At 42.7% G+C, this 22,471-nt stretch overlaps 1 protein-coding gene across 7 annotated transcripts in view; it reads right to left on the reverse strand.

The window, feature by feature from the left end:
• KSR2 (kinase suppressor of ras 2) overlaps positions 1-22,471 on the reverse strand; it is a 515,979-nt gene that overhangs the window by 356,837 nt on the left and 136,671 nt on the right. The window lies entirely within an intron of this gene.

Below are 22,471 nucleotides of genomic sequence, written 5' to 3' on the forward strand. Positions count from 1 at the left end.
AGAAATGGATGGGGATGGGAGGATTAGAACTCAGGGGATGGACAGTATAATTTGACCCCAATTTACTTAGTGATTCAGAAAGCAGAAAGTGATTCAAGTGACTGAAGAGAGGGTAAAGATGAATTTTGGAGGCTGTGGGCATTTGTGAGGTTCAGTCTCTGCAGCTCTGTCAACAGCAGCTCTCAGCTAGGAGGAAGTAGAGCCCGAATGAGCCTTTGCTGAGGCCCCCAGCCCTCAAGGACTGGCCACCAGTGAGCTGCTAACCAATGGAACCTAACAAACTGATCTCGGTTTGTTTTTTTTGTCTTTTGTTTTGTTTGTTTTGTTTTTTTGTTTTGCCTCACTGCAGTCATATAACAAAGAACCCACATAATTCAGGAACTATCACTCTATTAATCTGCACTCTACAGTATCTCCATCAACTGCCAGTTTAATACGAAAATAAATCCTCTCTCAATTTTATTTTATTTATTTATTTTTGAGACAGGGTGTCGCTCTGTCACCCAGGCTAGAGTGCAGTGGCACCAACATAGCTCATGGTAGCCTTGACTTCCCAAGGTCAAGCAATCTTCCCACCTCAGCCTCCAGAGTAACTAGGACTTACAGGCAGGCATCATCATGCCCAGCTAATTATTTTAATTTCTTGTAGAGATGAGGTCTCACTACGTTGCCCAGACTGGTCTCAAACCCCTGGGCTCAAGAGATTCTCCTGCCTTGGCTTCCCAAAGAGCTGGGATTACAGGCATGAGCCACCACATCCAGCCCTGTCTCAATTTTAAAGGTGATATCCGACTGGCAATTAAATTATCATTTCTTAGCCCTCATCCTAACATTCCAAGCTAATATGCAGAAGAAATGAAGGACAGATGCTGCAGTATGAAGATGGTTAAACTGTTTAACCATCCCAGACCTCCAGCTTGTCTTTGTTTTGTTTTGTTTTGTTTTGGGGGTGGTGGTGTTATTTTTGGTTCCTTTTAGAAAAGGGAAAATAGAAATGAAAAGAGATGAGTAAAGTTAATGAGCTTATAAAAACAAAGCTAAAAATAAATGAAGACATGAGAATGATGATTGTGGGATGAAATAAAATTAAGTTAAATTGAAATTAAAATGTGCTGTGATATCTTTCAAAGAGGATCAGACTTGATAAATTGATGAGTCTTTATCAATTGCATCAAAAGACCCATCAATTGGTTGCTTCCCAACCAATGCCTGGGTCTCGGATGAAACCCTTTTGGTGACTGGTGCTTCAGAAGGCCCGTACTTGGAGGGCAGGCCTGGCAAATAGAAAGTTCTTGCTTTAATGAAGCCCAAACTATGGCCAGGGTGACTTCTGCCCTCCTGGCCCTGCTCTGCCCTCTACACCCACACAACACAGCCTCCTCTGCCCCGTAGAGCCCTTCTCACAGGTGACAATGGGACGTGACTATACCCCTCCCCACTTCTGTTTCAGGAAACTATCTCTAGTTCCTTCAACCATACTAGAAGGGATACAATTTGGGGGAAGGAATAACTTTAGCACAGTGCTTCTCAAAGTGTGGCCCCCTGTCCAGCAGCATCGGCAACACCTGAGGACTTGCTATTAATGCAGATTCCCAGGCCCCGCCCCAGACATATGGAGTCAGAAATTCTGGGCATGAAGCCCAGCGATCTGTGTTTTCACCAGCCCTCTAGGAGATTCTGATCCATGCTCAAGTTTGAGAAGAACTGCTTCCCATTAAGACAGGACTTAGCAGATTAACCTCTCTCTGCCTCCACTTCCCCTCCATAAAATGGGGCAATTAGAAGTACCCACATCACAGAGTAATTGTAAGAAATTAGTGAGATAAGGTATGTGACAGAGTTTACCGGGACTCTGGTAAGCCTGGAGCTTACTGAGGAGGTCAGTGAAAGATAATACCAGTTACTAATGTTATCACTACAATTAGCTAAGGTTTGATAGCTATAAAGAGGACAGCTCTAAATTTGGTCAAGCTCTACTTAGAGTCACCTGCTTAGAAAAGAAGATGTTTTGGAGGTTCTGCAGGGACCTGAGGCAACTCCCAGGCAGCACTTAGAAGTTCACAACCTGCCTGCTGCCTGAACTTAGAAAAAAGTGTGGTTATTCTTGCCTCCTTCAGCAGGCCAGCTGAGAATGCCAAGTGACAGTCTCTGCTGGGGGTTAGACCACTGAGCTTGGGCTCAAGGAGCAGGCAGGATTTTTCTTGGAAAAAAATAAGGTCCCAATGTGAGAAGATTCTTGTTGGCATTCATTTTCACCAACCATCTGCCTTTGAGAGCTCTACAGCTGCCCTGTCCAATAGGGTAGTCACTAGACACATATGGCTACTGGGCACTTGAAACATAGCTAACCAAATTGAGATGGGCTGTAAGTATAAAATACACACAGATTTCTAAGACTTAACACAAAATAAAAGAACTTAAAATGTCTCCGTAAAAATATTTTATATTGATGACATGTTGCAATGATTCTACTTTGGATATACTGGGCTAAAAAAACCATAATGTTAAAATGAATGTCACTGGTTTCTTTTTTACTTTTTTAATGTAGCTACTAGAAAAATGTTAAACTATTTGTGGCTTGCTTTATATTTCTATTAGAGAGTTGATCTAGACAGTTGAGCACACAGGAGAGCCAAGTCCAATTCATTCCAAGCGAAGTCTTCAGCTCCTCTTGAATTTATTACAATGAATTTCAGATAGTAAATGGTCCTGTACTCTCCATTTCCCAGCATCATCATTTGCTAGCTAAGAAGAGTCCCCTCTACAAGGAAAGCTATAAAACACTGAAAAAAGAAACTGAAGAAGACATGAGAAAAATGGAAAGATATCCCATGTTCATAGAATGGAAAAATTAATATTGTTAAAATGTCCACAGTACCCAAAGTGATCTACAGATTCAATGCAATCTCTATTAAAATACCAATAACATTCTTCTCACATAAATAAAAAAAAATCCTAAAATCTGTGTGGAACCACAAAAGACCCCAAATAGCCAAAAAAAAAAAAAAAAATCATCCTGAGCAAAAAGAACAAAGCTGGAGGCATCACACCACCAGCACCAGACTTCAAAATATAATCCAAAACTACAATAACCTAAACAGCATTGTACAGGCATACAAACAGACATCAGACACATAAGCCAATGGAACAGAATAGAGAACTCAGAAATTAATCCACATATCTATAGACAACAGATTTTGACAAAGGTGTCAAAAAAAAACTGGATAGCCACATGCAAAAGAATGAAACCAGACCCCCATCTCTCATTCAGTACAAAAATCAACTCAAAATGGATTAAGGATCTAAATGTAAGACTTTAAACTTAAAACTACTAGAAGTAAACATAGGCAAAAGGCTTCAGAACATTGGTCTGGGAAGGGATTTTATGAATAAGTCCTCATAAATACAGGCAACAAAAGCAAAAAAATAGACAAATGGGATTATATCAAACTAAAAAGCATCTACACAGCAAAAGAATCAATCAACAAATTAAAGAGACAACCTACGGAATGGCAGAAAATATTTGCCAATTATCTATCTTACACGGGACTAATAACCAAAATATTTAAGAAGCTCAAACAACTCATTAGCAAAAAATAATGATAATCTGATTAAAAATGGGCAAAAGACCTAGAATAGACATTGCTCAAAAGAGGACATACATATGGCCAACAGGTATATGAAGAAATGCTCAGCACCACTAATCATCAGGGAAATACAAATTAAAACCACAATAAGATATCATCTCACACCAGTTAGAATGGCTACTATCAGAAAGACAACAAATAACAAATGCAGAGAAAAAGGAACTCATACATTGTTGGTGCGAATGTAAACTAGTACAGCCACTACAGAAAACAGTATGGAAGTTCTTTAGAAAACTACACATAGAATTGCCATATTATCCAGCAATCCCACTACTGAGCATTTATCCAAAGGAAAAGAAACCAGCTTATCAAAGAGATGGCTACACTCTCATGTTTATTGCAGCACTATTCACAATAGCCAAGATATGGATTGACCCAAGTGTCCAAGAAGAGATGAATGGATAAAGGAAATGTGGTATATATATACACAACAGAATACTATTTAGCCACAAAAACAATGAAATCCTGCCATCTGTGGCAACATGGTATAACTGGAGGACATTATATTAAGTGAAATAAGCTAAGAACAAACACTACATGTTCTCACTTATAGGTGGAAGCAAAATAGTTGATCTCATAGAACTAAAAAGTAGATGAGAGGATAACAGGCTGGGAAGGCTAAGGGGAAGAGTGGGATACGGAGAGATTTATTAAGAGATACATTATAGCCAGATGGGAGGAATAAGTTCTAATGTTCTATACCACTGTGGGATGACTACAGTTAACAATAATATATACAGTTAATAATAAATAGCTAGAAGAGAGATTGAATGTTCCCAAGACAAAGAAATGAGAAATGTCTGAGATGATGAATATGGTAATTACCCTAACCTGATCACTATACATTGTATGTATCAAAATCCCATAAATATCTACAATTATTATATGTCAATTAAAAATAAATAAATAAGAGCCTGGAGCATGGGAGGATGGGGGTGGGAGATGTGGTCAATCATCTTGCCATCAGGATAAAAAGGGTGGGGGGCTCTGCCACTTTCACTGTGACAACCCCTCCCAAACACCAAGACCCCTGACAAAGGGCGGAGATTAAATAAACTGCACAATGGGTACCTCAAAATATTCCCAACCAGGTAAAAAGAAGTTCCCTTTGGAGATCTTATCTCCCCAAAATGTTCCAGCGGAACCACATTCCTCCACAGAGGCTCCATTCAGAGAGCACTCGGGAGGCGTCTAGGGGCATGAAGAGTGAACTCTACCTCGGTGCCTTGTGCTAACCACAGCAGGATCCCTAGTTTGAGCAGGATCCCTCAAAGTGTGGGTCCTGAACCATCTGTACTTGAATCACCCAGGTACATGTTTAAGATACAAATTTCCAGGCTCTAGCTCAGACCAGCTGAATAAGTATCTATAGGAGGAAAAATATTTGCTACTCATGTCACAGCAAAAGGCCAATATCCTAATAAGTAAAGAGTTCTTATAAATCAATAAAAAAACAAACAATCCAGTGCCAAAATGATCAAAGGGTGTGGCCAAAGGGCTCACAGAAAGGGAAATACAGATGGCTCTTAAATATATGAACATTCTTAACCTCACTCATAACAACAGAAAGGCTCATTGAAAGGTCAGGAAAGAGCACTCTTAGACCTAGCCACAAAGGTCAGTTTGGCAAGACCATCCAAATGCAAAACACACAAGCCCTTTGACCCAGCAATTACAATTCTATATTTCACACATGTGAAATCATAAGCATAAAAAGATATTGCTGAAGCTGTGTTTGTAACAGCAAAAGATTGCAATCGACCTCAATGCCCATCAATGGGAGACCAGTTGGATCATTACACAATTAGGGATCATTACACAATTAAATACTAGGAAGCCATGAAAAAGATCAAGACCACTCTATATGTCTTGATATGGAACAGTCTCCGTGATACATGTATAAGAAAAAAAAGCAACATGCAGAATAGTGTGTATAGCACTCTACCGTGTACATAATAAAACATTTATAAATATTCATTTATTATTAATGTTACCAAGTACTACTATGTACTAGGCATTTTGCTAGATGCTCAGGATACAGTAGCAAATCAAATAGACAAAATCATTATCTTCACAGAGCTTCTAGACCAAGAATGTGAGTATTAAGTAAACAGTATATATGCTAAAGAGTGCATGAAAAAAAAGTAAGTACTATGAAAAAGTATGGTGGGAAGGGTATAGAAAGTGTGTGTGTGGGGGGCGCAGACGCAGTGGCTCAGGCCTATAATCCCAGCACTTTGGGAGGCAGAGGCAGGTGAATCACAAGGTCAAGAGTTCAAGACCAGCCTGGCCAACATGGTGAAACCCCGTCTCTACTAAATATACAAAAATTAGCCAGGCATGGTGGCATAGGCCTGTAATCCCAGCTACTCGGGAGGCTGAGGCAGGAGAATTGCTTGAACCTGGGAGGCAGAGGTTGCAGTGAGCCAAGATGGTGCCACTTCACTCCAGCCTGGACAACAGAGCAAAACTCTGTCTCAAAAAAAAAAAATAAAGTGTGTGTGTGTGTGTGTGTGTGTGTGTGTGTGTGTGTGTGTGTGTGTGTTGGGGAGGTGAGAAGAGGGCAAGGTTGCAATTGTAAACCAAGAAGTCAGGGAAGGCCACCCCTTGATCTTGGGCAGGAGTTTGTGACTCCTTCAACCAATAAAGAATGGTGGGAATGACATTATATGACTTACCAGGCTAAATTATAAAAATGCCATGCACCTCCTCCAGGTTCTGTTGGATCACACACTGTTGGAGCCCAACCACCATGCTGTGAGGAAGCCCAAGCAGCCACCTGGAGTTCTGCAGACGGCCCCAGCTGAGGCTTTAGCCAGTAACCAGCATCAACCTCCAGCCATGTGAATGGGTGAGCTTTTAGATGATTGCAGCACCCAGCTATCATGGTGCAGAGACAAACTATCCCCTCTGTGTCCTGTCCCAATTGCTGATCCATAGATTCCACAGCATAAGAAAAAGGTTACTGTTTAACACCACAAAGTTTGGAGTGGTTTGTTGCAATAATATTTTACAAGTGTCTGTGACCTGGCTTTGTCTTTTCTTAGTCATCATAGAACCCTAGGAAGGCCATGATGGCTGAGGGCACAGACCCTGGACCCTAGCAGGTACAAATCTTCATCATACTAATTAATTTCCACATCACTTTCCTCTAGAAACCCGTGTCATCCTTAAGGGCATGGTCATCCTTGGATCCTCAGTGCACAGCACAGAAACTGACCCAGGCTAACAGCTGCGTCCACTGAGTGTTTACTAGAAGGCAGGGCATTATTTTGGTTAATTCACACAACCATCCTGTGGCAAAGAACGATCATCACCCCCATTTTGCAGATAAGGCAACAAGGCTTCCAGAACTAAAGTGGGTCTGCCCATAGTTCATTAGCTCATAAGTGGCAAAGAGCTGAAATTCCAACCCAGTGCTGTTTGGATGGATTCCCATGTGATTCCATTACACAAGGCAGCACATCCATCTGGCTGTTCATCTTTCCATTGGCTTCTTCTTTCCATTTGGCTTTCCAAGGAAACCAATGGAAAGATGAACAGCTGGATGGCTGCATTTCTGTTTGCAATGACCAGGCCAGGGGAGGGGAATATCCTTTTGCCAAATCTTTCCAGAAATCCCAGAACACAGTTTTCAATCAACTTCAACTCTTATTCATGAAAAAGTTTCAATAAGCCATTTAAGGACTGTTACAGCCTTTCCGTGAAGGTCTGTCTTCCTCCGGAAAATAAAGTTTGCTGACAAAGAGCAGTCCCTTAAGACCTACTGTCTATTTGCATCTGAATTTCAAAACCATTCTAGCAAAACTTCATTAGACTCTGAGTGTGTCATAAGAGATAATGATTTGTTCTCTCTCTCTTTCTCTCTCTCTCAATAACCGCCCCCCACCCACACCGATGTTCCCAAGTAAAAACAGCACGGGAAATTAGACGGCTCTAATTAATGACTCAATAAATAAAGAGAAAAGGAAAAGGTTGGCAGGACACTTACTCCAGATCACACATTTCGGCTGGTAACAAGTTACCTTCCCACAGCCAGCTCACCCCTCTTTAAAGAAAGGACCCTGCTCCAGGATCTGACCTCATGATAATATTACCTGATAATACTATTTATATATACTAATAATATAATATTATTAACTCTTGCTATCAATGGCCCCAATCCCTGTCCCCATATTTGTGTGCCAACATTGATTAAAAACATGCTATACACAAGACCTGAATTATACCTCAGGAGGCTATGACAATGGATAAAGAGAGATTCCTTTTCCCCACAGGGGCTGGGATCTCCTCCATCCAAATCCCTTTCTTCAAGATGTTCCAGGCTGGGCGCGGTGGCTCACACCTGTAATCCCAGCACTTTGGGAGGCCGAGGCAGGTGGATCACTTGAGGTCAGGAGTTCAAGACAAGGCGGGCCAACACAGTAAAACCCCGTCTACACTAAAAATACAAAAATTAGCCAGGCGTGGTGGTGCATGCCTGTAATCCCAGCTACTTGGGAGACTGAGGCAGGAGAATCACTTGAACCCAGGAGACAGAGGTTGCAGTGAGCCAAGATCACACCACTCCACTCCAGTCTGGGTAACAGAGCGAGACTCTGTTTCAAAAAAATAAAAAAAAAAAAGTTCCAATGGTTTATCCAATATGTCCCTCAAATCAGAGGTAGAGAGTAGAATAGGGATCAATGGGCAATCTCTGGGGTCACACTGCTAGGGCCAAATCCTAATGTCACCATTTGGCCCTTGGAAGATTTCCTACCCCACTGATCACCGATCCTTAATCCCCTCACCTGGGAAATGGGAACCTTAGCAGAGACAGTATGTGCTCAGAGGCTACAACCAAGGACTCTGAGGGTTTGTGTGGCCTAGGGCACGTTGTGTGCCCTAGGGCACATGGCTTAACCTCTCTCCCTCAACTTCCTCATCTGTAAAGTGAGAAGAATAAAAATGGCAAGGTTGCTATGAGAAAGAAGGGAGCTAAGAGACACAAACGACTCACAGCACAGCCTATGGGTAAAAGGTTGGCTCAGAGGTTTGAGCTCATATTGTGGCTGGGAGAACGCAGTGAATGAGCCCATAGCAAGTGCTTAGTGCAGGGCATGCCACCTGAGAAGCATGTGATAAATGTTCATGGGTGGCAGTGTTTTCATTGTGGTTATTGTCGTTTCTAAGCCAGCCTTTGATCCTGCTGAAAACGTTCTGTGGCTAGAGGAGGAGGAACGCCTGCTGTCATTGGCTGCATGATTAGGCAAATGTCCTTGGAGACAGGGATCTTAGTGTTCCCCAGCTGCAGGTGCAAGGATGACAAAAGAGCAGGCAGGAGATGAAGAATCTGAAAATCCTGCCCAATGGAGACGTGGCCAAAGCAACTCATAATGTTTAGACCAGGGAAGAGAAAATGACAAAGAGACATAAAAGGCTATCATGAAGCATGACATGGAGGCCTTTGCTGACCAGGGCAGCCCCCAAAACACCAGCTCCCCACCACAAGTTTTTATAGCTCTTATACCCCTTTTTTCCAGAGCATTGCTCACCCTGGGGTTCAGTCATGATTTACATCATTAGTTGTTCAATGTCCATCCCCACCAAGAAACCATGAGCTCTATGAGATCAGGGGCTAGGTCTGTACCGCCCCCTCACTGTGGCCAAAATATGTAGCATCAGGCTCAGGGGAATAAGGCCAGTTTGAGCTCATTCAAGGATTGACCACCCAGAACAAGCTAGCTGTGGAAGGGGACTGAGTTATTTGGGAGGAAGTTCCCCGTCACTGCAGGTGTACACCAGCTAGGTATCTACACACCCAGCAGAGTTTAGTTGCATTCTTTCATCCAGCAAACATCTACTACGGCATCTTCTAAGTGAGGGCATGCCCTAGAGGGCGTCGTAGGTGCCTCAGGGATCCAGAGTTGCTGAGAGCCTCCTAGACCTGGTGAGGTTATTTCAACACACAGAACAAGGATGCTGGAGGGCACAGTGGGGGTAAAAGCCATGTTCACTCTTTTGATTTATGGTGATGGTTTCCTGGGTATCTACATATGTCAAAGCTCATCAAATTGCATACTATAAATCTGGGCAGCTGATTAAATGTTGATTATATCTCAGTTAAGCTGTCAAAAAAAATCTCACGTTCAAAAGAAGTGGAATGAGAATAGGTAATACAAAAATATTCAGAGTAGTAGTGTCAATAATAGCAAAAATAATCACTCGTTCAAAAAACAATAGCAAAAAGAAAAACCAAAAAGCATAATATAACCAAAACCCAATACTTATGCAAATTCCCCCTGTTCACAGGAAGGAAACAGGGTATAGCTATTAAGCGTGATATTTTCAAAAATTAATGACATGGCCCTCCAAAAAAAAAGAAGGGAAGGAGAAAGGGCATCAGATAATCAATATAATTTGATACCATTTCTGCTTTGTTAAAAATGCATAGGAAAAAAGCCTAAAAGGTTTTATAATTAAAATGTAATCCCTTTACTTGGGTAATTTTGAAAGCATTTTTAAATATTGAAAAGACTCACCGGAAAATGCGAATATGAGCAAGATTATGGGTGATTTGGTTTTCTTTTTTTACATATTTCTTCATTTTTCAAAATTTTCACAAACAAAAACCATTTTAATATCAAAAAGAGAAATGTTACTTTAAAACAATAACTAGAAGACAGCTAAGGGTTCCCCCCTACCCAGCTCTATGAGAGGGAGAAATCAGAGGAGCGTTAAAGTCTAGGTGACCTTGGACCCCCTGAAGATTACCTCCCTGCGATCTCTTCTAAACTCCAGATAAAGGTTTGGGGGCACTGAGGTTATTGACAGGAGGCGGGGGATGTTCTGCCTAACGCAGATGCTGATTGGATTAGGGTCTGGTTCTGTTTTCCTCTAAGTAGATTATGCTTTTCTTGAACTTGCTCCAGTGGGTCCCGGAAATTCAGCCCAGGACAGACCTGCGGATCGTTTTCAGAGCTCACTGGAATATGTTTAAGCATGTAATAAATACATTTAAGCCTAATCGGATAAATCACTAAATCAGATCGTTGTCTTGCAATTTGAAAACCAGGCTCTGGCTCCAGACCCTGGGGAAGGAGGAAAAGGAAGAAATAGGAAGACTTCGGGCAGGTGCCGAGGTCATCTTCCGACCCAACACCACCCAACATCACCCAACAACAAAGACAAAGAACCTCCCTCCTTCCCCTACAACCCAGAGGTTCATCAACTTACAATGACCTCAGATATGCCATAAAACCTGGCAGCAGTCAGAGTCAGTGTGAAAAAAAAAAAATCCAGGTGCTACCAGCAATTCAGGACCTTTCAAAAGACACCAGTATTAGAAGCCTACATGTGGTCCATCTGCTCTACTCCCTGTCTCAAAGCAAGAGAACTTTCAAGTTCTCAGGCAAGACCTCCGAAAGAGCCATGTTACTGAGTCTCTGTTTCTGAGGTTTTGTTACATTAAGGCCCTAAAGAGTCAAGGTTAAGGGGTAAAAACTTGAGAACCAGACAGGTCTAGGTTCAGATCCTCTGCCACTCCTTCTCTGTGAGACTCTGGGCAAATGACAGCCTATCTGAGCCTCAGTTTCTGCATCTGTAAAATAGACACAGTCATAGCACCTAGTTCATAATGCTGTTGGGAGGATTAAATGAGATAATGCCTATAAGACACTTAGCACAATGCCTGGCATAGAATGATTAATCCATGTTAGATACTATTATCGTCTGAATTATTTTTAATAGAACTTCCCACCTAGTATAGTTGATCCTAGAACAACACAGGTTTTAACTGCATGGGTCTACTTATATGTGGATTTTCTTCTGACTCTGCCACCACTGAGATGGCTAAACCAACCCCTCCTCTTCCTCCTCCTCTTCAACCTACTGAGCATGAGGATGAAGACCTTTATGATGATCTACTTCCACTTAATGAACAGTAAATATATTTTCTCTTCCTTATGATTTTCTTAATAACATTTTCTTTTCTCTACCGTACTTTATTGTAGGAATACGTATATTCATAACATACAAAATATGTGTTAACTGACTTCATATTATCAGTAAGGCTTCCAGTCAATGGTAGGCCATTAGTAAAGTTTTGGGGGAAATCAAAGGTTATATGTGGATTTTCAACTGTGTGAGGAGTTGGTGTTCCTAACCCCTGTGTTGTTCAAAGGCCAACTGTACTTTTTATGTGGACATATAATATCTTTATGAGATCTAAGCTGCCTGATAACATTTCATTTTATTTTAACAAATATGAATTGGAAGCCAGGCTCTGGGAGAGACAATAGGGACATAGCGCTGAACAAAAGAACATGGTCTTTGGTCTCAAGGAGTCTGAAGTATTATTGTCAGAGGCGTTTGACCTAGAGCAACTCCATCTTGAACAGAAGTTGGGTAAAATGAGGCTGAAACCTACTGGGCTGCATTCCCAGACACAGGCATTCTAAGTCACAGGATGGGATGGGAGGTTGGCAAGAAATACGGCTCATAAAGATCTTCCTGATAAAACAGGTTGCAGTAAAGAAGCCGGCTAAAACTCACCAAAACCAAGATAGCAATGAGAGTGACCTCTGGTCGTCCTCACTGCTACACTCCCATTAGCTCCATCACAGTTTACAAATGCCATGGCAACATCAGAAAGTTACCCTATATGATCTAAAAAGGGGAGGCATGAATAATCCACCCCTTGTTTAGCATATCATCAAGAAATAACCATAAAAATGGGCAACCAGCAGCCCTTGGGGCTGCTCTGTCTATGGAGTAGCCATTCTTTTATTTCTCTACTTTCTTAATAAACTTCCTTTCACTTTACTCTACGGACTCGCCCTGAATTCTTTCTTGCACGAGATGCGTGAACCCTCTCTTGGGGTCTGGACCCAGACCCCTTTCCTGTAACATTATGACACAGATGTTAAATAAACACACAAATAAATGCAGATGCTCCTCAGCCTACAAAGGGGTTACGTCCAGAAAAACAAATCATAAGTTGAAAATACCCTAAGTTAAAAGTGCATTTAATACAGCCAACCTACCACACATCATAGCTCAACCTAGCCTACCTTAAATGTGCTCAGAACACTTTCCATTGACTGGAAGCCTTACTGATAATATGAAGTCAGTTAACACATATTTTATATGTTATGAATATATGTATTCCTACAATAAAGTAAGGTAGAGAAAAGAAAATACATGAGATATTCAACACTTGACTATACAATGGGGTTTGTGTTAAATGATTTGGCTCAGGATCATGAGAGAGTAGTACCATGCTGCATATTGCTAGCCCGGGAAAAGATCAAGATTCACAATTTCAAGGACATTGTCTCCTGGATGTGTATTGCCTTCACACCATCATGAAGTAGAAAAATCCTAAGTTGACAGTCAGGGACCGTCTGTGTGTGATTAAAAACTGGGACATGTACTACCAAGAAAAAGAAAAGGGTTATCCCAAGAGAAAACAGAGAAGTGCTATTTTGGGCCAGGGGACAGAAAGGCTTTCCAAAGAAAAATACATTTAAGCCAGAATATGAACGTCCAATCAGAATCAGCTAGGGAAAAAGAAAAGAATGTTCCAGACAGAGGCTACAATATATGCAAAGGTCCTGAAGTGAGAATGGCATTCAAGGAACTCAAAAAAAAAAAAAGTGTGGCTGGAGGGTGTGGAGTAAGAGAGAAAATAGAAGGAAACGTGGCTGCCGAGGTAGGAAGGAGTGGACTGGGTCTTGTAGATGGAGGGTCTCCAGCAAGAGTCACACGATTTGCTTTGGGATTTTAAGAGATGAATCTGGTTCCAAGTCCAGAAGACACTGAAGGGGAGCAAGAATGGATGCAAGGAGGCCAGACAGGAGGCTGCTACAGTCATCCAGGCAAAAGCTTGGGGTGGTAGTCATGAGAACTAGGCAGATTTGAGATACAATTTGAAGACAAAATGAACGTGAGTTGAGTGCATATAGCATTTGAGGAGTGAGGGTCGGGCTGGAATCAGGAGGCTCCCAGAGTTCCAACTTAAACATCTAGAGAGATGGTGCTACCATTTACTAAGAAGAAAAAAACATCAGGTGGAAGGGCAACTGCAGGGAAAAGAGGAGCAGTTCAGTTTTAGGCATGATGCTAAGTTAAAGGTGCAGGTGATACAGCTAATGAGTGGACAAAGAGGTAGGAGGAAGACCAGGAGAGTGTGCTTTCTTGGAAACCAAGAGAAGATATCATTTCCAAAAGGGAGAAGTGGTCAGTGGTCTCCTTGCACATACTGATAGGAGATCAAGTAAGAGAAGAGAGATGTCTCTCTGATTCACCTTGATATCCAAAAGTGCCTGACATATAATTAGGACAGCCACTCTGGAGAAGAGTATGGAGTTTCCCCAAGAAACTAAAAATAAAATCACCATCTGATCTAGCAATTCCACTGCTGGGTATACACCCAAAAGAAAGGAAGTCAGTATATCAAAGGGCTGCCTGCAACCCCAGGTTTATTGCAACATGATTCACAGTAGCCAAAATATGGACACAACCTAAGTACCCATCAATGGATGAATAGGTAAAGAAAATGTGGTATATATACACAATGGAATATTATTCAGCCATAAAAAGGAATGAAATCCTGTCATCTGCAGCAACACGGATGGAACTGGAGGTCATTTTGTTCAGTGAAATAGGCCAAGCACAGAAAGACAAACATCACATATTCTTACTCCTATGAAACAGCTAAAAAAGTGGGTCTCATGAAGATAGAGAGTAGACTGGTGGTTGCCAGAGGCTAGGAAGGGGCAGGGGGAGGGGGAGGGGGTATGACGACAAGTTGGATTAATGGGTACAAATATTCGATTTGATAGAAAAAAATAAGACCTAGTATTCAACAGATCAGTAGTGTGACTATAGGTTACAAGAATCTATCATACATTTCAAAATAGCAACAAGAGAATAATTCAAATGTTTCTAGCATAAAGAAAAGACAAATATTTAAGGTGATGGATATTCCTACACTTTTTGATCTTTACAAATTATATGAATGTATTAAATTGTCACATGTACCCTGAAATTATGTACACTTATTATGCATTAATAAAAAATTATTTTAAAAAAATTTTAGGCCGGGCGCGGTGGCTCATACCTGTAATCCCAGCACTTTGGGAGGCCGAGGCGGGCGGATCACGAGGTCAGGAGATCGAGACCATCCTGGCTAACACAGTGAAACCCTGTCTCCACTAAAAATACAAAAACATTAGCTGGGTGTGGTGGCAGGCGCCTGTAGTCCCAGCTACTCGGGAGGCTGAGGCAGGAGAATGGCATGAACCCGGGAGGCGGCGCTTGCAGTGAGCCAAGATCACGCCACTGCACTTCAGCCTGGGCGACAGAGCGAGACTCTATCTCAAAAAAAAAAAAAAAAAAAAATTAAACAAAGTACCTGACAAAGCTGGGAGCAGTGGCTCATGGCTGTAATCCTAGCACTTTGGGAGGCTGAGGTGGGTGGATCACTTGAGGTCAGGAGTCTGAGACCAGCCTGGCCAACATAGCGAAACCCTGTCTCTAGTAAAAATACAAAAAAATTAGCCAGGCATAGTGGCACACACCTGTAGTCCCAGCTACTCAGGAGACTGGACAGGAGAACCGCTTAAACCCCAGGAGGTGGAGGCTGTAGTGAGCCAACATTGCGCCACTGCACTCCAGCCTGGGTGACAGCAAGACTCCATCTCAAAACGAAACAAAACAAAGTGCCTGACACATATTAGGTTGTCAATGGATGATTGATGGGTACACAGATGGACATAAGATGGGTGCATGGATCATATGTGTGGGTCCGTGGATGGGTGTGTGCATGGAAGATTGGTAGGTACGCGGATGGATGGATGGAGGGATGCATGGTTGGGGGCATGGCTGGGTAAATGTGTGCAGGGATGGATAGGTGCATGGGTCGGGGCATAAATGTAGTGGTTCCAGCCATGGAGAACTCTGGTTAGTTTTCCAAGCAAAAAATACTTTCCTTCTTCATGTAACCATTCCCTCTGTCTTGAGCACTCTTTCTGCCATCCCTTCTCTCCTTTGCAGTCTTCAGATCTCAGTTCAATATTACTTTGTCAGGAAGACCTTCCCTAACTACCCTAGCTAGCTAACATGGCTCCCTCACTATTTTCTTCACAGTATTTGTCAGATTCTCAAATCATCTCATTGTTTCGCTGAATGGTTTATTGTCTGTCTCCCTTGTTAGATGGTTCAGTCCACAAAGGCAGGAGCTTTGCTCATCATTTCTAAATCTCTAGCACTCAGCAGAGTGCCTGGGATATAGAAGGGGCTCAGTGTCTATATATTAGATGGAGGAATGGACAGATGGAAGAATGGATAGATGGATGGATGGGTAGGTGGATAAATGGGTGGGTGGGTTGATGGACGGACAGATGCATGCATGCATGCATAGATGCGTGGATGGGTGGATGGGTGGATGGGTGGGTGGGTAGACGGGTGAACAGGTGGGTGGATGGGTGGGTGGGTAGGTGGGTGAACAGGTGGGTGGATGGGTGGGTGGATGGATGGATGCATGGAGGGATGGATGGATGGATGGATGAATGGATGGATAAATGCATGAATGGGTGGGTGTATGGATGGAAGGAAGGAAAGAGCAAAGGGGAGATGGATAGAAACAGAAGAGAATGAGATGGAGGAAGAATGAATGAATGAATGAATGAATTCACCCCACTTCCTTCTGATCCATGTTCAGGAAAATTACCACCTTGACCTCTCTGGATCCACCTCTGCTCAGCCACCATCTGTCAAAGCCTACAAAGGCTTGCAAAGAAGATGTACACCCTCCCAGGTGCTAAAGGACTTAAATTCTCTCTTTGCAAAGCCCACAGCAGTCCTGCTGTGCAGCCTCAGCCAGAGCTGTGGCAACGTCCTGTTCCTGGGGGTTGACGTTAGCTGTTCCTGTTATACTGTCTTTGATAAGCAAGGCAGGGTCAGGCTACTGGGCACTGGGAAGGAGGAAAAAAAGATCTTTTTGAAGACTAAGGGGAAAAAACACACTAATAGGAGAACAAACAAAAAAAAACCATTTAAAATACACTGCTTCTTAGAGAGAGGGTCAAGCTTCCACTCTCAAAATATTCAGAGAATGACAAGCAAGAGACACATGAAGTGTGAAGGGTGACCTCTGTGAAGCACTGCCTGACATTAGCAGATGCAGGTATTAGCATTTAGCAAGATCTTTTTAAAAATATACACACATGCACACACACACACACACACACACGCCGAGAGAGACAGAACTGATTCAAGGATGAGGGCTCCGGTTTTCCTGCACTTTTTGTTTCAACATCATGGACAGCTGGGCGCAGTGGCTCATGCCTGTAATCCCAGCAATTTGGGAGGCCAAGGTGGGCAGATCGCTTTGAGCTCAGGAGTTCAAGACCAGCCTGGGTAACATGGTGAACCCCATCTCTACAAAAAATACAAAAAAATTAGCCGGGCATAGAGGCACGTGCCTGTAGTCTCAGCTAGTGAGCTGAGATCACACCACCACACTCCAGCCTGGCCGACACAGTGAGACCCTGTCTCAAAAAAAAAAAAAAAAAAGGCATAATCATCGTGGGCAGTAGCTCTCTTTTATAGATGTGTTCTTGGGATTTCTGAGCTCTGCTCCTGACTTCAAAAAGCCATGGTAAAAACTGAAGAGGAGGAGGAAAAAGAGAATGAAGTCTGCCTTTTTGAAAGGAAAAAAGAAGGTGTACCTGCTCCTGGAAGTCTGAGGAAGAAAGACTGGACTTGGGTGATCTTCTGAGACATTAAACCAAATGCAGCCAGATCCCCTTTGCAGCTGCAGGGCTTTCCTCTCCCTTCCCATCTATAAGCTGAGCCTCCACCTGGTAAACATGTCCTGCCTCTAAAATCACTTATCTACACAGGGCTGGGATGGAAGTTAAGATCTCAGGCACTGGCGTCAAACAACCTGGCTCCAAGACTTACTCACTGTGTGCTCTTGGCTGTGACTTAACTCTAAGCTTCAGTTTTCTTATCCATTCAATCAGGATAATAATAATTACCATATAAAGTCATTGTGAGGAATAAATTAGACAACCCATGCAAAGTATCTGGCACAGATCAAATAATTGATCAATGTCAACTTGGTTTCAAATAGTTGATCAATGATGTTGGCTGCTGCTATTGATATTGTGGATAATTTATTTAGCACTTACAATGTATAACACAATAGGTAAGTGTTAAATATTGGGCACTTTGATAGGTCAGTGTCCTATAACTTATTAAATTCTATGAGGTTTAGACTCATTAAACCCTATGAGGTAGTAGTAGTATCCTCATGTCATAGAAGGTGATGAAAGCACAGAGAGGTTAAGTAACTTGCACAAGGTCACACAGCTAGTAGGCAGCAAAGCTGGTTCTCAATCCTCAGCCAACTAATTCCAGAGTCTGCGCTCATCACTCTGGCATTATTCTTATGTATGACCCTTCCACAATTCAGCTTTTTAAATCCCCACCCAAACCATTATCTCATATTATCTTCCCTATCTCCTGGGGAGAAAAAATGTAGCAGGGACTCACATCATTTCTATTTCACAGACTCGAACACCAAGGAGCAGAGCAGCCCAGGGCTCTGGCTACTTCTTGTATTGATTCCAGGGCCATCACCAAACTCCATGAGGATGGGACAATGTGCTACTTGTTCACCGCTGCGTCCCCAGGGCCTACCCAGTGTCCGGTATGCAGTAACACTTGGGAAGTGTCACCTCAATACCAACTCTTCCCTGAAACGATACATCCCACAGCCTGCTTCATAATCACTTGTTTCAACCTATGATTAGCAAAAACAGAAAGCCACAGTCAAGTTCAGGTAGAATCCTGGTGTTATGTAATATCCAGAACACGGCAGCACGTAAAAGCCCTCAACATCCTTTGCAACGTGCTATCCTGAATAGTAAACCATTAGTAGCCATACAAATGGCTACCAAACCATTTTTATTGAGTGCTTACTGTATATCAAGTATTTGCTTTATGTATTATAACTCATTACATACTTAACATAATCCTAAGAAGTGTGTGTTATAATGATCCCCATTCCCAGATAAGGAAGCACAGATCACTAAGCCCTTTTATGAAAGCAAATGTACAAACCCCGGACCTGCCCTTGCGGCCAGGCTGTCCTGAGTTACAAGGGTGGACAGCACCCAAGGCCGACTGGTCTGTATCTTGTTAATTCGGGGGCCCCTCAGCCCTGGCCCTAGGCTTCCAGAAGGCATCCAGTATCCATACCACCTGGATGTCCCTCTGAAACTTTCCGAGACCCTCTGTGGGATGCACCAGACTCTAGGTCCTTGTCCCTTAGCTAGCCTCCCAACTGCCATCTGTGTCCCACTGTGAAAACAAGAACCATGCCTTGGAGAAGTCTAGTGCTCACATTCCCATTGGCCTCAGAAGGTGGGGAGTCAATTCCAAAAGGATGACATGGTTCTGAAGAGTCTGGGACAGCCAACTGGGTCCAGGTCGGCCAGCTTCAAAGCTACCTGTGGATGGGGTGACCTTGGGGTAACTCCAGTATGATGAACTCAGTCAACCACACACCACCCCTTAAGTTGCTCCTTGAAGCTAATCACCATGGAAGATGAAGACATAAGAGTCACCATTCCTGTCCTTAGAATCCTTCCCATATAACCTCTCACCTCCCTCCCCAGTCTCATCTCCTCTTTTCATCTCCCTAATCCTCTTCCAGGCTGACTTCCAACTCACGCTTTATCACAACTATGTGCCTCACTACAGGTTTTTCCGTATGCCTGAGCAGACATGTTCCCCCAACCAATTGGTAACTTTCTGGTTTTATACCCAACTCAAATATCTCCTTCACTCTAAAGGCTTCCCTAACCTTCTCCTATGCTCAGCCTCCAAAACACTGCTTGTTTTACCCTCTGTGCCACCACTGCAGCTGACAGAGTTCTCTGTATCTTATTGCATCATGACAATACCTTAAAGACAAGAAGTACATGTGCTCATCTCTAAATCTCTTGTACCTAACATGGGGCTTGGCACAAAGAAAGGGTTCCCAAAACACTTGATGAATGAATAAGTACATGGGCCTACTTGTTTACAAGCACTCACATCAGAAACTGATGAAAAACAACAGAGGGCTACAGTCAAGGCCTAGGACAGAGGTCTACAAACATTTTCTATAAAGGACTGGACAGTAAAGATGTTGACTTCATGGACCACACGGTCTCTGTTGCAACTAATCAATTCAACCATTGTGGTACAAAGGCAGCTACAGACAATGCATACATGATTAGATGTGACTGTGTACCAGTAAAACTTTAACTAGGCAGCCCACTCTAGTTCACTGGCTCCTGGATTAGACTATTCAACACATTTCAAAGTGGCATAAAGCAGACAGGCTCATGCTTAGCAAGTCTTCCTCTATTTTCCTCTAAAGATAGCTGGCCAGCATTATCCTAAGTGAACTAACACAGCAACAGAAAATCAAATATTGCATGTTCTCACTTATAAGTAGAGTGCAGTGGCTCACGTCTGTAATCCCAGCACTCTGGGAGGCCAAGATGGGTGGATCATTTGAGGTCAGGAGTTCGAGACCAGCTTGGCCAACGTGGTGAAACCCCGCCTCTACTAAAAATACAAAAATTAGCCAGGCATGGTGGTGCATGCCTGTAATCCCAGCTACTCGGGAGGCTGGGGCAGGAGAAGAGCTTGCACCTAGGAGGCAGAGGTTGCAGTGAGCGAAGATCAAGCCATTGCTACTCCAGCCCGGGAAACAGAGTGAGATTCCATCTCAAAAATAAAAAAAAAAAAGTAGGAACTAAACATTGGGTATACATGGTCATAAAGATGGGAACAAAAGGCACAGGGGACTCCTAGAAGGGGGAGGGAAGGGGACAAGCTCTGAAAAACAAACTATTAAGCGCTACGCTCACTACCTGGGTGATGGGATTATCCATATCCCAAACCTCAGTGTCATACAATATACCAATGTAACAAACCTGCACATGTACCCTCGAATCAAAAAATAAAAGTTGAAATTATTAAAAATTAAATTAAATTAAAAGAATAGCCAGCCAGGCTAGAATAGAAAAGGAACACTGAAAAGGAGAGAGAGAAAGAATATACCATCTCCTAAGAAAGCCTGCGTCATTTCCAGATGATTAAAAAGATTTTCTCAGAATTCTATCAGACCTCAAGCCTCAAGCCCTTGAGGCAGACGTGGGGAGAAACAAATTTAAGCTATGAGTTAGCAACCGATTCCTCTAAAAAGACAGCTGCAACTTTGACCACAAACCGGAGATCAGAGAAGACATGATACTGTTTGGGTTTTATGATGATTTTTACTATTATTCTTACTAATACTGTCATTTCTATTGATAAAGTCTGCCTACTGATAAAATTCTGCCTCATTTTCCTTGAGAAAGAAGGAAAACAGATGAGAAAATTAGCTCAAAGGAAAAACCAAACTCCAAGGAAATTTAATTAAATAAATAGATTTCTTGGCTGTGAGAGAAAAGAGATGTGACATGTCCCCAGATCCAACTTCCTCCATGTTCCTGTCTCCTGGGGAACCGGCAGAGCATGAAAAATCCAAATACCTCCCCCAGAGCAAGAAACGCTGATATTATTATCAATATGCCCTTGCCGCTTTAAATCATGTCTGTTCGGGCAGAACTTGCTTCATTTCACTCTTTCTTTCTCTTTCCCAATAAATCCACTTGGAAAGGAAGTTTGGATTATTTTTTAGCTCTTTCTTTTTCCATCCTGGTTCTTAACTGATGCTATCTCTCCAACAGCTTTGAGCAATTTCTTTCCCTCGAGGAGAAGTTTCCCGCTTGTTCCATGTGGGCAGAAATCTCCAACCTGGCCCACCTTGCAAGAAGCAGGGGCAGGACAGCCCAGGGCACCTCTTCTTTGCCTCTTTGAGACCTGAACCACGTTGCTTGGCAGCTGCCCTTCTTTCTTCTTCTATAAATTGGGGGCAGGAACGCCAGGCACTTAATTCACACAGGAGACAGCTTGGGAAAATGAAGTCAAGTTGAAAGCAAGGGGGAGAAAAATCCTTGCAAGACTGCTGGAAGGATTAAATGAAATCATATAGCGAAGACACCTACTAGTAACAATAGTTATTACCCAATAATAATAACAGCAAGGTATTGGTTATCAGGCACCCACAGCAACTCCATGCAAGACATTGGACTTTGTATATTTGATTTCACTTAATCCTCAAAACAACCCAAGAGGTAGGGACAGTTATTATCTGAATTTCCACACATGGAAGTGATGGCTCAGGTGAATTCACTTGCCAAAGGCCACACAGCCAAGTACCCCACACAATCCAAGAACACAGGAGGTACTTAATAAATGCTGGTTAAAGCTGAATGCATAGGTCAATTGCCCACTAAGATGTCATCATCCCTTGACTGCCATAACCTTTAGGAACAGCTAACTTGGTTCTATTTTCAAGGGAGCACCATTTAAGATACTTGAGGGTGGTTTTTTCACCTCCTATAAAACTTGTACTGTGGCCGGGTGCAGTGGCTCATGCCTGTAATCCCAGCATTTTGGGAGGCCGAGGCGGGCAGATTACCTGAGGTCAGGAGTTTGAGACTATCCTGGCCAACATGGTGAAACCCCGTCTCTACTAAAAATACAAAAATTAGCTGGGTGTGGTGACGTGCACTGTAATCCTAGCTACTGGGGAGGGTGAGGCAGGAGAATCACTTGAATCCAGGAGGCGGAGTTTGCAGTGAGCCAAGATCATGCCATTGCACTCCAGCCTGGGAGACAAGAGCAAAACTCCATCTCAAAAACAAAACAAAACAAAACAAATCTTGTACCGT

The sequence above is a fragment of the Homo sapiens genome, chromosome 12, assembly GCF_000001405.40.
Source record: "Homo sapiens chromosome 12, GRCh38.p14 Primary Assembly".
NCBI lineage: Eukaryota > Metazoa > Chordata > Mammalia > Primates > Hominidae > Homo > Homo sapiens.